Genomic DNA, 16,140 nt, shown 5'->3' on the forward strand with positions numbered 1-16,140 from the left:
GCACCTGCCTTGCCATTAACAAGCTCCATAATGGCCAGACATGGTGGCTCACACCCATAATCTCAGCACTTTGGGAGGCTGAGGGGGGAGGATTGCTTGAGCTAGGAATTCAAGACTAGCCTGGGCAACATGGCAAGACTCCCATCTCTCTACAAAATTAAAGAAAAAAATTAGCCAGGTATGGTGATGCACACCTGTAGTCCCAGCTACTCAGGAGGCTGAGGTGGGAGGATCACATGAGCCCTGAAGGTTGAGGCTACAGTGAGCCACGTTTGTGCCACTGCACTACAGCCTACATGATGGAGCAAGACCCTGTCTCAAAAAAAAAAAAAAAAAAACCCAGAAACCAACAAAACAAAACAAAATAAAAAAACAGCTTCACAATAAGTCAAATAACATAAATGTTCTGCACCTGTTTCCTTATCTGTCTTGCTCAATAAGTTTCCTCCCAGCTCAGAAATCACAGCTTTGCTCATAGTTTCGGTTCATGGAAAGTGGCTATTTGTACATTTATGTATTATTAAGAGACCGCATAGTCCATTGCATCATAGCTCTCAATCCCCAAGTCTTAGTCCTTTGGCTTTTTCATTTATTACAGTTAAACTTTTGCTTTTTGGTAAATAAGACAGATGGTCTAAGGGAAATGCAGAAATTGGCAGAATTATGTTCATACTGCGAACTAAGAGACTCCATGTTATCTCATCCAACTGTAAAGTCACAAAGGCCACCAGGAGCAACCCACTAAGTTACCTGTAAAATCAGGTTTTCATGAAAGAAACAGAATTGTCCATAGAAAGTAAGAAGCGTCTCAGGCGGCATTTTTTTTTTTTTACACTACTGCTAGATGTGCTTCCATTTGATTTTGTGATTCTTTCTTATTATGAAGCCAATTTATAAACTTAAGACTGAGAAGGGATTGGATGCAGCACATTCCTTTCCTCTCACAAATGATGGTTGAGACAGTATGTGATTCTGAAAGGTACCATATGAAGCGTACGTATCACACAATTATTATGCTCCACCCATCATGGTTGGTTTCAACTGCTGGGTTTGGAAATCATGCAAGGATCGGATTCTAAATGGAGTACTTAGGCAGGAGATAGATACGGCCTCTGTCTTTATTACCTTGTACTTTATCCTTCTTACATTTAATGTTGTAAATATTCCTTCTGCTGTACCCTAAAAGATATTTTTCTTTTATCATATCTCTCTCTCCTTCGTTTCTTTCTTCTGTCTCTCCTACTCTAATGTATCTTCAACTATTAAGCCAGAAGATCTCATTTGAAAGTTTCATGTAGGCTTATTTTTGTTGAGGCACAGGTAAATCAATAAATGCCAATTTTTATTTACATGATTTTGACAAACTTTGATTCACATGTGTATACACACACACACACACACACACACACACACACATATTTGCTTCCTCCTTAGCAAAACCATCTTCCCTTTAACCAAAGCATGGCCTTGGAGGTAGTCACATGACCGAGTACTAGAGGATGAACCAGGAAGTATTGGACCAGAGGAAATAAGACTTCTGCTAGATAAAGATGCACAATACCTTCTAATTAGCATGACAACTGATTGTTACCAGGGAACATGGACATTTATTTAATTTCATTTAATTTCAACAAAAATTCTTTATGTAATTAGCAAATGGGACTTAAAATGGTATTTTAATTCAGTAAGTAGAGCCTACATTATACCTCTCTTATTTGGATCTATGTAGTTTGTAAGGAATCGTTTTTGGTTATAACAGCCATTTAAAACAATATATTGAAACATACTGAATTTAGAAACAGCTTTCAATAGTTATACTACAAATTGTTAGACCAAATCTTTTAAAAAAATAAAACATCCAATCATATTGGTCTCAATAAAATATTAATAGCATTAGAGAGCAAAATTATATCAACTATTGATAAGTAGCAATTATTTAAAGTATGGAAATTGAATTTTACCCCATCTTTTTCAGTTTCCATCTCATGTGTATTTATTACACACATGCTATATATAACATGTATTATATATATAATATATTGACATTTTATATTCATATAGGAGGACCACTTTTCTAGAGGACAATCTATAACAGAAAATTGGTAATGAAGAAATATCCTAAGTGGATGAATGAAGGTAGTGGAACTACTCACAAACAGAGGCAGCTGCAGTCCTTTTATGAAAACTAAACAACCAAACCAAAAACTAAGGAACAAAAACTCCTGTTGAGGGCTTAGTAAGAAGGATATTGCTTTAATTCTGCAAGAGAGATACAAACTATATATCAAGACATGTTCTCCAACTATGAGTTGTGGAGTATTTCAAATACATAAAAGTTTGTCAAGTAGAGTTACTTTGGTGACATAATTTGTGTGGCAGCTAAGAGGCTTGGGGAATTGGATGCCTAAGAGACTTCTCACAATCTCCTTTATGTTCACTAAATATTTTATTATATTTAGTCATATCTCCTGTATTCTATCATATCTGGATGTAAACAACAAAAATTTGGGGTGAGAGAAGTTTCAAGCTAAAAAAAGATGGATGGATTAATAGTGAGATAGATGGGTAGGTGAATGGATGAGGACTATTTTAGCACATACAACTCTAGTCCCAAGTCTCTGTATCCTTTTAAATCAACTTTATTAGTAAAAAATTGTTTGAGCCCACGACCTGAGTTTTTTATATTCATTTAAAAGTTATATATAAGTACCACTGTATCAATACATAATTATCAGCAATACATACAAAAAAAGTGTAAAATATTTTATACTGGTTTATAGCATACCTGATGGGGCATTTTTCTTGCAATAGTCAACATTTTAATCTACTTTATCTTCTATCGTTCATCAGGAGATGTAATTCTTGTTCACTGACACTTTTTGAGATCCTACTATATTCTAAGTACTGTGTTAAGCTGTCTAGGTGATTGTCGTAGTCATAGGAATTGTCGTATCTCGTCTACTGTGTGCTTAGTACCTCTGAAAAGGACGCAGCCTACACATAATAGCAGCTATTAATGTGGATATATGGTTCAGTGCGGACTATGGTTGTCATCTTTTTATCTTCCATCCAGAGAGTACTGCCTTCTTGGAAGTAAAGGAGGTAATAAACTGAATGCTAAGGTAGAGAAGTTTAAAAATCGTATATACACAAATATGTGTGTATATTTTATACACTAAATCTAAAGTATTTCATTAATATCAATAGTAAGCATTATAAATGAATGTTATAAATGAGGAATTTATAGTATATTCCTATTAGGTCTCAATTATAATTAAAATTAATGTGTATAATACATGTAAATTATTAGTGTATATTTTTAGGTAAGTAGGCTAAGGACAGGAGCAAAATTCAAAGTCCATTTGAGAACTTACTATGTTCCAAGTACTGTGATAAATTTTTCTATGTGCATTTTCTCATTTAACTCTCTAAAACACCTGATAAGCTAGGTACATCTATTACTCCCAGTTTATAAATAAGAGAACAGGCTTAGGAGAGATTTTGTAATTTTCCCAGTATGATATAGCCACAGAAGGGCAGATACAAGATTTAAATCTACATCATCCTGGTGAATACCTAAGGCTCTGGGATCAAGTCTAGATTGATTTTCCTTCCTCTTTACTAATATGGTTGCTTCAGTGCTTCATTGAGATTAAAATCAACAGGATTTAAATACCATTTATAGGGGCATGTTCAGATAAGTCACTTGTAAATAAACATTCTTGTGGTTTGCTTTATTATGAATTAATGATAACTTAGGCTATCAACTCTGCCAAATTTTAATGTACATTTGATAACTGTTTTTATAACAGTTAAAGCTTGACTTGAAAAAAATGTATGAGTAGGTAATTGCTAAAAATATGAAATACAACCTGCCAGGCTAGGAGACTAATTGCTTCAAGCTTCCTTGTGAGTACATATATTTCCTTTATAGAAGCACATAATGCAAAATATCTAAGAACAGAGCTGACGCTGTATTACAGATTAATCTTCTCCTTCTGGTGAAAGAGTTTAACAATACTGTAAGTGTAGCGTCTTTGTCTCTTTTAATCTCTCAGTCTCTTTCTTTGTCAGTGTTTCTGTCTCCTGATGTATTAAACCTCTTAAAAGAGACAATACTTTTGTGGAAAAACTTCAAGGTCATACTCCTTGTAACATGTCCTGAGTTCTGGAGGTCACAGCCTGGGATCAAGAGGTTGTCGCCAAACTCAGTCCCCTCTGTGGTAAAACACTAACCTATCAGCTGAACTATTGAATTGGTGCCTCAGAAACATAATTCTAACAAATACAACCATATGTGGATAATACATGGATTTTGGACAGAAACAGACTTGCTAAAAGTTTCGTAGTGTTCCCAGAACCAGTTATATAATTATTGACTAATTTTTATTACTTTGGTATCAGCTTTGTGCCAAATGTGGGCAGTTTTTATTTTTTAACCCAATCTGTAGCAAAGTGATTGCAGAAGCAGATTTCTATGTAGAAGGGAGAAAGTAGCCATACATGGTAAGTATTTACATTTTATGATGTGGGGGATACCTACATTAATAATTTAATTTGCCTTTTGCAGACAGATGTTCTGTTGTGTTATTGATATTGCTGCAAACTTATTGCCACTTACTCTCAGTGATGAGACTAACAGTTTTCTATACTTTTGATTGCTATGTAAAATCATGTTATAGAGAAACTTGTCTAATTTTATGGAAGCAAAGACTACTGGTCCTGTGATTGGTTAGGTAATATAATCTTCTCAGAATAAATAGTAACAACAGCTTTATTTTAGCAGGAAAGTAAGAGTTTTACTATGTAGAAGTATAGTAGTCAAAGGAAACAATTGTCCAAACAATTTATTTTAAAGAACAGAAAACAAAAAGAAGAAAAAATGTTTTATTAGAGATAATCATATACATCATGCACTTCATAGCAACGTTTCAGACAATGATGGATCACATATACAATGGTGGCCCCATAAGATTATAATACAATATTTGTACTAAACTTTTTTAATGTTTAGATATGTTTAGATACAAAAATACTTACCATTGTGTTACAATTGCCTACAGTATTCAGTACAGTAACATGTACAGGTTTGTAGCCTAGGAGCAATAGGCTATACCATAGAGTCTAGGTGTGTAGGAGGCTATACTATCTAGGTTTGTGTAAGTACACTCTATGATGTTTGCTCAATGACAAAACCACCTAACAATGCATTTCTCAAAATGTATCCTTGTCATTAAGCAACATATGACTGTATTAGTGAAAACTAGATTTTCACCAGATGACAAATCCAGATAACTAAGTTCTTACATCTGAATATAGTACCTGCAACTGTTTGACTTAAGGCCAAAACATTTTAAATAATTATTTTAAAAAAGCATTATTAAGAAATAAAACTATCTCTATTTGAGATGACATAGTTTTCTATATATATATATATAGAAAATTCTAAATAATCCACTAAAAATCTGTGACTAACAACCTCAGCTAGATCATGACATACAAATCAATATGTAAAAATCAATAATATTTCCACATTTGCAATAAACAGTCCAAAAATGAAATAGAGTAAACAATTTCATTTACAATAACCTCAAAAGGAATAAAATTCTTAGTAAACAATTTCATTTACAATAACCTCAGAAAGAATAAAATTCTGAGGAATAAATTTAACAAAAGAAGTGTGACACTAATACTCTGAAAACTATAGAACATTATTGAAAGCAATTAAAAATCTAAGTACATAGAAATATATTCTGTATTCATGGATTGGAAGACTTAATATTGTTAAGATGGCACTATTCCCCAAATTGATTTATAGATTCAACGCAATCCCTATCGTAATCCCAGCTGGCTTCTTTGTGGATCCTACAATGCATACGGAAACTCAAAGGACCTAGAATAGCCAAAGTAATTTTAAAAAAGAAGAAAGTGGGAGGAGTTGCACTTTCCAATTTCAAAATTTACTATGAAGCAATAGTAATCAAGACAATATTGGCGTAAGAATATGCATGTAGATCCATAGAATAGCATCGAGAGTCCAGAAATAAACCCATATATTTGTGGTCAATTGATTTTCACTGAGGGTGCTAAGACCATTCAATGAGGAAAGAAGAGTTTGTTCAATAAATTGTGCTGAGACAACCGGATAGTCACAGGAAAAAGAATAAAGTTGGACTACTACCTCATACCCCATATGAAAATCAACTTGAAGTGCATCAAATAATTAAATATGAATGCTAAAACTATAAAACTCTTAGAAGAAAACATAAGGATAAATTTTCATGACCTTGGATTTGGCAATGGTTTTCTAGATGCATTACAAAAGTATGAACATCAAAAGAAAAAAGATACATTAATTGGATTATCAAAATTAAAACCCTTTGTGCTTCAAATGTTATTATCAAAAAAGTGAAAAGACAACCCTCAGAATGACAGAAATTATTTGCAAAACATATCTGATAGGGAGATCATATCAAGAATATGGAAATAACTTGTACAATTCAATAATAAAAAGACAACCCAGTTGAAAAATGGTTAAAGAATATGAAGGGACATTTTTTCAACAAAGATACACAAATGGCCAAAAGGCACATGAAGAAATGTTTAATATTTTTAGTCATCAGGAAAATGCAAATCAAAACCACGATGAGATGCCGCTTCACATTCACTTGGTTGGTTATAATCAAAAGTCTGAGAATAACAAGTGTTAACAAGATGTGAAAATGTTGGAACCCTTCTAAACTGCTGGTAGGAATATAAAATAGTGCAACTAGTTTGGAAAGCAGTGTGGTGGTTCCTCAAAAATGTATACATGGAGCTATCATTTGACCCGTCAGTTACACTCCTAGGTATATACCCAAGAAAAATGAAAACATATGTCCACGCAAAAATGTGTACATTGATATTATAGCAGCATTATTCATAATAGCCAAGAGATGGAATCAACCCAAATGATTATCAGCTGATGAATGGATAAACAAAATGTGGTATATCTATATAATGGGACATTTTCAACCAGTAATAGGTATGAAGTACGGATACTTGCTACAAGTTGGTTAAAATATTATATTAAGAGAAACAATTCAGTCCAAAAAAACACATGTTACATGATTCTATTTATATAAAATGTTCAAGATAGGAAAATCTGTAGAGATGGAATGTAGATTTGTGGTTGCCTGGGGCTGGGGGTGGGAGTTCGGGTGTTTTGGGAGGTGAAAACTGGAGTACAGGGTTTCTTTGGGGGATGCTAAAATGTTCTAAAACTGATTATGTTAATTGGGTGGACAACTCTGTGAATGTACTAAAAACTATTGAATTATAGACTGTAAATTTGCGAATTGTGTGGTATTGTGAGTTATATTTCAATGAAGCTTTTGCCAAAAACAGTATTACTTCTGAGGCAACAGTTATACAATTTTGGTATTAAGTATTCAGCCCTCTCCACATGGGTTTTTCAGTTTTATGTGTGCAAAATAACCTTAAATTTTTAGGCTGGTTTTTTTTTTTTTTTTTGAAAAGGACTTTATTTGGTATGGATGAGCAAATGTCCAGTGCACTTCCAAAATAGATTCATTTAAACTTGGTTTGTGACTTATTAGCATTGTGAAGTTAATGGTTGAAAAGGTCAAGAGATATGAAATAGGAGAACAAATTCTTTAGACATTTTTCCTTTTAAAACAGGTGCACCCTATCCTGAGAAACAGTTGGTGTAACCCCATATCCATTTTTGTTGTTGTTGACATCTCAGCAGAAAATACTATTTTCAGAAAGTATTATTTTACCTATGAGTTATACATTTACAACATATCATTCTTACCCAGCTATGAAAATGATCTTAGGGCACTGCACCAGAATCCTGAATTGCTGCTGTAAGAGCCGATTCTGTTTGCTTCTTGTCTCTCTTTTGCCTGTGCATCTTTCTACTTAATAAATTTGAAAAGTGTATTAGTCACAGTGGTTTTGGATTCTGCTTTCCTAAAGCTCTGCTCTAAGTGAGCTGTTGCACTTCTAAACTAAAATTTCCCTGTTCTTTGCCATCTTTCACCCTGTGCTTTTCCAGACCTAAAATGTCAAAGTATCAAGCAGATGAAATTAAGTTTGGAACATAGGTTTGGTAGGAAATGACTCCATGCTTTCAGCAGATCTGTAGTTTCATTATTTTTTTTTTTTTTAAAAAAAACAAGGGACTGTTAATAAAAGATTCACTGAATCCAGTCATTTGTCTCAATTAACTACTGTATTTACATAAAATACTTGATGCTGTAAAATAAAAGCAGTGCAGGCTATTTGCTGAGATACCTGGACAGTTACAGTAGACTAGATTTTTGCTTAATAATTATTTAGAGGAGAGGGGTTTTAGGTACACTTGGATATACTTGAATATCTTTGTGTGTGTGTGTGTGTGTGTGTGTGTGTGTGTGTGTGTGCATTTGGACTAAAGTGGCTAAAACACTTCTTCTGACCCCATTTGGCAGAAGGTAAAAACGACTTTCTGTTTGCAAGGATCTTGTGCCCATGGAGCATCAGGCAAGGACATTCTGTTATGCTTCTTAAAAGAACTGGCACTACAGATCCCTTAACCAGAAGTGCACAGAGTCATATTTTTGTGATTGACAGTACGTTCTTTATTGCCTTTATTTTTGTTTTCCCTCCTCTCTTCATGTATTGTATTGTGGACCTACATGACTCAGATTATGTCTTACTTACTGTGTTGCTGAATATGGCTAGAGGAAATGTGAGAATGAGTACTGAAAAAACAACTTACCAGAAATCAGGACTCCTTCTGGCTTCCATCACTGGCTCTGCCACACTCTCTGGCCTTAGATAAAATTCCCTTCACTCAACTGATATTTTAAAACACATACCATGTGCAGGGTACTGTCTATATGTCTAGCCTTATTGAATCTCAGTTTTCTCATCTGTAAAATAAAACATGAAATTTAAGCTGTAAACCTGATTGATTATTCTGCGACAATTCAGAGAGCAGAGGTTAACACATTTGACTGTTAGAGTACCTTCCCCGCCCCACCATCAGAATTTTTACTCATATTTGCAAATTCCATAGTACAATCCTTACTCACTGAGATGTCCCCTGTATCCTTAAGTGGCACTAATAAATACTGGTAAATGTGCTAAACTAAATTGAAAGTCATTTTAAATGAAAATTGTGTTTGTATATACAGCCTTATAGCAAGGTCACCAGTTGAGTTGTGAAACTGAGCAGCTTATGATAGAGTGTCACAATTCTAAAATGGCTGGAAATTTTTTACAATCTGACTATAAGGAATATAAGATACTTTCCTATTCTTGAAAGACTATTAGATTTTATTCCATTAGCTCTTCTATTTTTCTTCTCTCTTTCAAGAAAAAAATGACCAAATGCACATAGAAAATAATGTGGTTGTAGCCCAGTAGTAGTTGGCTAAAGTTCTTAGTTTTGGAGACAAAACTAAGCCATTTTAGAAACTGTCCTTTGGCCCTAGTTATGGATGTTTCAGCCCTGCTCAGGGTCAATATGCTTCCTCACAGTGGGAGATGGAGAGAAGTAGTCCTGCCCCCCTGCCCCACCACTTTTTTTTTTTTTTGAGACAGGTCTCACTCTGTCACTCAGGCTAGAGTGCAGTGGCATAATCACCATTCACTACAGCCTCAACTGTCCAGGCTCAAGTGATCCTCCCACCTCAGCCTCCCAAGTAGCTGAGACTACAGCGTATGCCACTACTACTGGCTAATTTTCTATTTTTATTTTTTTATTATACTTTAAGTTCTAGGGTACATGTGCACAACATGCAGGTTTGTTACATATGTATACATGTGCCATGTTGGTGTGCTGCACCCATTTACTTGTCATTTACATTAGGTATATCTCCTAATGCTATCCCTCCCCCCTCCCCCCACCCCACTTCAGGCCCCGATGTGTGATGTTCCCCACCCTGTGTCCAGGTGTTCTCATTGTTCAATTCCCACCTATGAGTGAGAACATGCGGTGTTTGGTTTTCTGTCCTTGCGATAGTTTGCTCAGAATGATGGTTTCCAGCTTCATCCATGTCCCTGTAAAGGACATGAAATCATCCTTTTTATGGCTGCATAGTGTTCCATGGTGTATATGTGCCTCATTTTCTTAATCCAGTCTACCATTGTTGGACATTTGGGTTGGTTCCAAGTCTTTGCTATTGTGAATAGTGACTCCTGGCTAATTTAAAAAATTTACTTTAGAATGGAGATGGTGGAGGTGGTCTCACTATGTTGCCCAGGCTGGTCTTGAACTCCTGGGCTCAACCAATCCTCCAACCTCAGCCTCCCAAAGTGCTGCATTACAAGCGTGAGCCACCACACCCGGCCATCCTTCTATTCTTCTCATTTCTCCCTACCCCAAATCAACATGGATAGGTCTCCATTTGTTCTAAGAAGTGCTGTGCTGTTGTAATTAGCTTAATTAATCAAATGTATCTTTGATGATCCATTTATTAATTCATTTTTTTTTCTTCTAGACAGCAAAGGACTGAATTTTGTTAAAACCCACCCTTGCTCAGAGGGCATTTATAAAGAAAACAACCTCCACAATGAAACAAAAATTCAGGGGAGATGCGGTGTGAGGTCTGCTCCAGGCCGTGGTGGGTGCTCTTTGGCTTCTCTCCTCTGCTGGGCCTGTGGCCACATGTCCCCCCGCCCACCACCGCCACTGCCCCCATGCCCATGAAGGGCCGCTCCCCCATCGCCACACCCTGCAGTACCTGAGCCAGGGGGAGGTGGTGTTCAAAGACTTGGCGAAGGTCATGACAGTGAATTACAAAACACATGGGGAGCTGGGTGAGGGCACCAGGAAATTTGCGTTTTCAACATATCTTAGATCCAATACAAAATCCCATGAGTGCAGATCATGATGTTTAAGGACAGGATGCCATCATCCTTCCTGTCTCCACACCCACCAATACTTAGATTCTGGGAAGCAAGTCCCGTTGGATGTGGAGACCAAGAATAATAAGGAGGTCATTGAGTCCATCGAAAAATGTTGGGGAAGAATGAGGAAACCCCCAAGAAAGAGGAGAAGGAGAAAAAGCAGCTGTCTCACCCAGCCCCCTTTGGCCGTGGAAAGTACTGCCTGAAGGATTGTACCTGCAAAGTGGAAGGACAGGTGCCCTGCCTGGGCCTGATACCCAAGGAGATGGGGAAGTGCAGAGCCACTGTGAAAGTCAGTACCCAGGACTAGCACCCAGGGTCATTGTGGGCTGGGGCAATTGTGACTGACCAATAGGGAGACTGGTATGGGGTTACCCTGGCCCCAGTAAGCCCTCGGTTCTGTCCTTGAAAACTCTGGAAATCCTTTTGCAATAAAAGGTTCCCATTTATACACCTGTGTAAAAGGGCTTGGGGAGAGGAACATCTGCAGCCGAGCTGCTAAATGCATATCCTTGCTCCTTGGGTAAATAAAAGGCTTCCCAATCAGTGCAACAAAACAGCAACAACAGCAACAACAACAACCACAACAATTCACAACATCCCAGGTTTTAGGCAGCAGAATCATCTGGTGGGACTCAGTCTTGATACTTTCCTGTATGTGTCTTCTTGGATTTTTCTCATTTTGGTTACAGTTGCCATCACTTCTATTACCATCCCCCTGTGCTTGTACAATCCCTTGCCCTTAGTGAGAAGGCCAACTTCTTAAAATACTTTTTTTTTTCTCTTAAATACTAAAGCAGAGTCAAGGGGATATAAACAGATTACAAGAAACACAAAAATCCTGCTTATCAAGCGCTGTCTGTTCTGCTATCACTATTATTGAAATCTTAAGAAACTTTGAGTTTTCAGTAATCATGTACAAATAATCATTTCAGTAGGAAAAGGTAGGAATAGGGGCTGAAAGTATTCAGATTCAAAATAACAAAGTTATTTTAAGAAGCAACACTAATGATCTTTGGCTGGAATTTCAGGTAGACTGCCAGGGAAGTTTTGGCTGGCAGGCCTGATGCCCTTCAAATCACACCACATTACAGCCTTCACCTGTGGGTGAAGTTGATCCTGCAGGGCACCTTTGGCAGACAGAAGAGAAGCAGTGACTGGATCTTGTTCTCTGTCTGGGGAGACTCAGGCAGGAGTGCCACCCACAGGAAGTTGAGCTAAATGTATTACTCAGAGAAAGATAAAGCAATATAAACAGAAGAAAAATACATCCTCAAGCCAGAAGCAACAGTCAACAACATAGCTAAGAAAGTAGGGTAGAATATGGGGCAGAATAGCAATGTTAGACTGTAAATGGAAGAATGACAAATTTCACCAGTAACACAAATGTCAGAAGCTGGTTGGGATGAAGCATATAGATCAGGTCAATTGGTTCTGGACCAGGCTCCTGAACAGTGATTGGAAGCTGGCAGTTCTCTGATGTCTTGGGTGCAGACCTCATGGATTGAAGAGACCAACATTACTTAGAAAAAAAAGCAGAAAACCTGGTCTTTGTTTTGTGCAGTTCATTTCTCACAGTTAACTTTACTGTTTAACTATGACTTGTAGAAAGCTGTAATGTATTATCACTGTTCTTCAGTACAGAAAGTAAGACAAACAAATAAATGGAAGAATTAGAATTGAACCTTGATTTTCTAAAAACTAGACACACACTGGTATTTGTTGAATATTAGCTTTTCAAAAAGATTGTCTTACTTTTTTCTTCATCAAATCAAAGGATTTAGTAAAGTTTTATTTCTGTTAGTATCCAAAGACCTACATAAAAAGTACATTAGCCCTAAAAAGCTACTAATTAGAATTGATTAACATATGGAGAAACAAATTAGTTATGTAATCATGTATATTATAATGGTTAATAAATTATATAAACCTATATAGTAAGCAAATATTTTATAAACATAAAATTATTCTTCACTCTTGAATAATTATGCAGGTCAATCTTCCAGAAATCAGTGGGAGTTTTACTTTTATTTCTAATTACTTATATTTTTAGTCTGTTTTAAATTAACAGTTAGATTTCCATCTGTGTATCAATAATTAGATACACAAGTTTTAGGTTAATTAGAATGATTGCCAATAGTCACATTGTTTTTGATAGCTTCCATTGTAATAATGCTTCAAGGTGATTACTGGTTCTTTAACTTGTGTAAGAAACTATACTCCTTTTTTTAAATTTTACTTTAAGTTCTGGGATACATGTGCAGAACGTGCAGGTTTGTTACATAGGTATACATGTGCCATGGTGGTTTGCTGCTCCTATCAACCCGTCATCTAGGTTTTAAGCCCCACATGCATTAGGCATTTGTCCTAATGCTCTCACTCCCCTTGCCCCCAACCCCTCGATAGGCCCCGGTATGTGATGTTCCCCTCCCTGTGTCCACGTGAAGAAACGATATTCTTAAACTACATTAAAAACTCAGGAATCGGTTTTATGCTACATGTATACTTTTCCTGGACTATGTATTCCACTGGGAAACATTATGAAAGAACGTGGGAGTATAACTGTTTTGCTCTTCAGGGCAGTTATTATCAAAGCCTCTAAAAGCACTCTGCAATCAATTTTTATTGTCAGTCTTTTACAAAAATCCTCAAAGTCCACTAATTGGCTCGTAAAACTACATAGTAAAAGAAAAGGGGAAAATTAAGCATGGTGCATTACACATGATATCAAAAGTGGAGACCTAATCTATCACTATTAATGCATTTAGTTATTGATAGGCATGCGTCTAGAGTCACATTTTAAAGCTTTGGTCCTTATATTGTCACAGACTCACTGGCAGCCATGGCAGTGGTGTTGCTGCCACCGTCTCCTCTGTCTCGATGTTCTGTCATGGAAATCAGGGATACTAACACTGAGTAACTCTGAGAGAAAACCATTTACAAAGAAATTTGAAATTCTGAGAATAATCAACAATCTTTTTTAACAAAAGTGCTGGCAGTTATATATTGGAATATTTACATGATAGTAGATGTTCTGAGTGGATGTGGAACAGGGGAGGTTTTAGGAGGGCGAGGTAAAAAAAGAATCAGAGGCTGGGAGTGGTGGCTCATGCCTGTAATCCCAGCAATTTGGGAGGCCGAGGGGGTTGGAACACCTGAGGTCAGGAGTTTGAGACCAGCCTGGCCAACATGGCAAAACCCTGTCTCTACTAAAAATACAAAAATTAGTTGGGCATGGTGGCACGTGCCTGTAGTCTCAGCTACTCAGTAGGCTGAGGCAGGAGAATCACTTGAACCTGGGAGGCGGAGGTTGCAGTGAGCCAAGATCATGGCACTGCACTGTAGCCTAGGTGACAGAGCGAGACTCCGTCTCAAAACAAACAAATAATCAGAAAAATAAAAACATTAATGAAATCCTGGCAAAAAAGGCAACAACTGGGCACCCTTTAATATGGTCACACAGTACATATTTGTGTTGTGTCTATTAAATAAGTTTACTTTTAAAGTCCTTTTGTTGAAACACAGTAGGTAGCTGGAATTATCTACTCTTGGTTATTGAAATCAATGTATTTGTGTGTCAAACACATCATTTTGGCAAGTGATAATAGTATCTATTTATAACAACTTTTCATTTTTATTAATACATTCTGAGATATCAGTATATTTACTGTTCAGATTATTTGGCTAGAATTACCCTTAGTTGTGTCTGAACTTTCCTAAAAATAATACCCATCTTATCCGTTTTTGCATTTGAAAATTAAACTGCTGGTGGTACATAAGTTTATTTTCTACAATGACAACAGTTAATGTCCTTCTAAGTTAATATATGAAGGACCTTTTCTATCTCAATAAGTAACATCCTTGGTTCCAAATTAGCCATTTTAATTCCACTGCCACATTGTTTCTTAGAAATCATAACATGTTTTTGGAAAATTTAATTTCACTTATTATGTGACTGGCTGGCCATCCAGGCATATATTCTGGAGGAAGACTTTTAAAATAAAGCCATTCTTAACAGCCAAAATGTAGAAAATAGTCCTATTTTCTAGGTATCTATAGATGAAGGAAAGAGTATCTTCTCATACTGTGTTCTAGGGCCCTATACCTGAAATTGAGTCTTTACAGGAAGATAAAGTCAGCTGCAGCCCTACTAGCTGAACTGAGTGCAGATACAGATTGGTGTAATAACTGTCCAGAAGCTCCTATCCACAGGCTGAAATTTATCCAAGCCAGATATATAAGATAGTCTTATTCAAAAATTATCTTCCTATTTGATGACTAGTATTTCCATTTCCTGTTTATTTCAATTAGCTGCATGTAAAGCAGTTCTTTCTGCAACTGTCGATATTAGATCCTGGAAGGTAATTAATTCCATAATCTAGTTGTCCATATCTTCCATCTGTAAGGTGTATGTGTTGTGTTCTTGCATGTCTGAATGGTGGCTTTGAACTGTATCCTTGCATTTATTTTTGCATCTCTATGGGATTGTGGTGTGTGTGTGCATTGCGTGTGTGTGTGTATGTCTGTATCCTATAATACAGCAACCTGTGGTCTGTTCATGTCAAATCCTTGAAAAGTTTGGAAAAAGAAAATGAAGAAGACAGGTGGGAATAAAAGCTAGTGTAATAGGTAAGAGCTGGGAAGTATATACATATTCAGTATATTTCAGCTATGAATTCACAGATTACTTGAGACTTTATGTTCTTTATGACAATGTGTTGCATTCTGAGGAGATGGGGCATAGTCGCTACAGTGGTGTGATGCTGGGAGAGTGGTTGGGAGCAGAAATGATGATAATGAGCCACTCATCAAGATTTTTATGCCAGAATGGCCAATCGCAATAGAAAACACTCTCAGACTATAGCTGGCCTGTGGTTTCTTCTGACTACTTTCTATAGTTTCCTTGAGGCACTAAGTGCTTTGTTATGGGTATCAGTGGACTCTGAGAAGTCTATTAGAAATAAATGTAGATACAGTTGGTGTTCAGTTTCAACAACATTCTCTGATTTTAAATTCCTTTGGGTAGCCTTTTTAAAAATATCAAATGATTAATTTTATAAAACTTCGTTGTTTATAAGTGTATCTATAATTACAAAATTATATTTTAAACTTTGGGTAGTCTTTTAAAGACTATCAAATGATTGTTATAAAATTGTTTTCGTAATTTTATATATTTGTATTATAAAACTTGCATTTTTTTCATCATTAAATCTTTACTAAGTGGAACCTGGTAGGTTCCAG

The 16,140-nt window shown here is 36.3% G+C and overlaps 1 protein-coding gene and 1 pseudogene across 4 annotated transcripts in view; both read left to right on the plus strand.

The window, feature by feature from the left end:
- Positions 1 to 10,414: 10,414 nt before the first annotated feature.
- CFAP299 (cilia and flagella associated protein 299) overlaps positions 10,415 to 16,140 on the plus strand; it is a 642,486-nt gene continuing 636,760 nt past the window's right edge. Inside the window, exon 1 of one of the 4 annotated variants that reach the window (XM_017007976.2) lies at positions 10,415 to 10,613. In XM_017007976.2, the coding sequence (XP_016863465.1) occupies positions 10,585 to 10,613 (29 nt within the window). In that variant the 5' untranslated portion in view covers positions 10,415 to 10,584. The remainder of the gene's footprint in view (positions 10,614 to 16,140) is intronic. The other 3 variants (XM_047449975.1, XM_017007977.2, XM_011531816.3) reach the window with 3 other exon arrangements.
- Positions 10,690 to 11,209, plus strand: MRPS25P1 (mitochondrial ribosomal protein S25 pseudogene 1; annotated as a pseudogene).

This window comes from Homo sapiens, chromosome 4 (genome assembly GCF_000001405.40).
Source record: "Homo sapiens chromosome 4, GRCh38.p14 Primary Assembly".
NCBI lineage: Eukaryota > Metazoa > Chordata > Mammalia > Primates > Hominidae > Homo > Homo sapiens.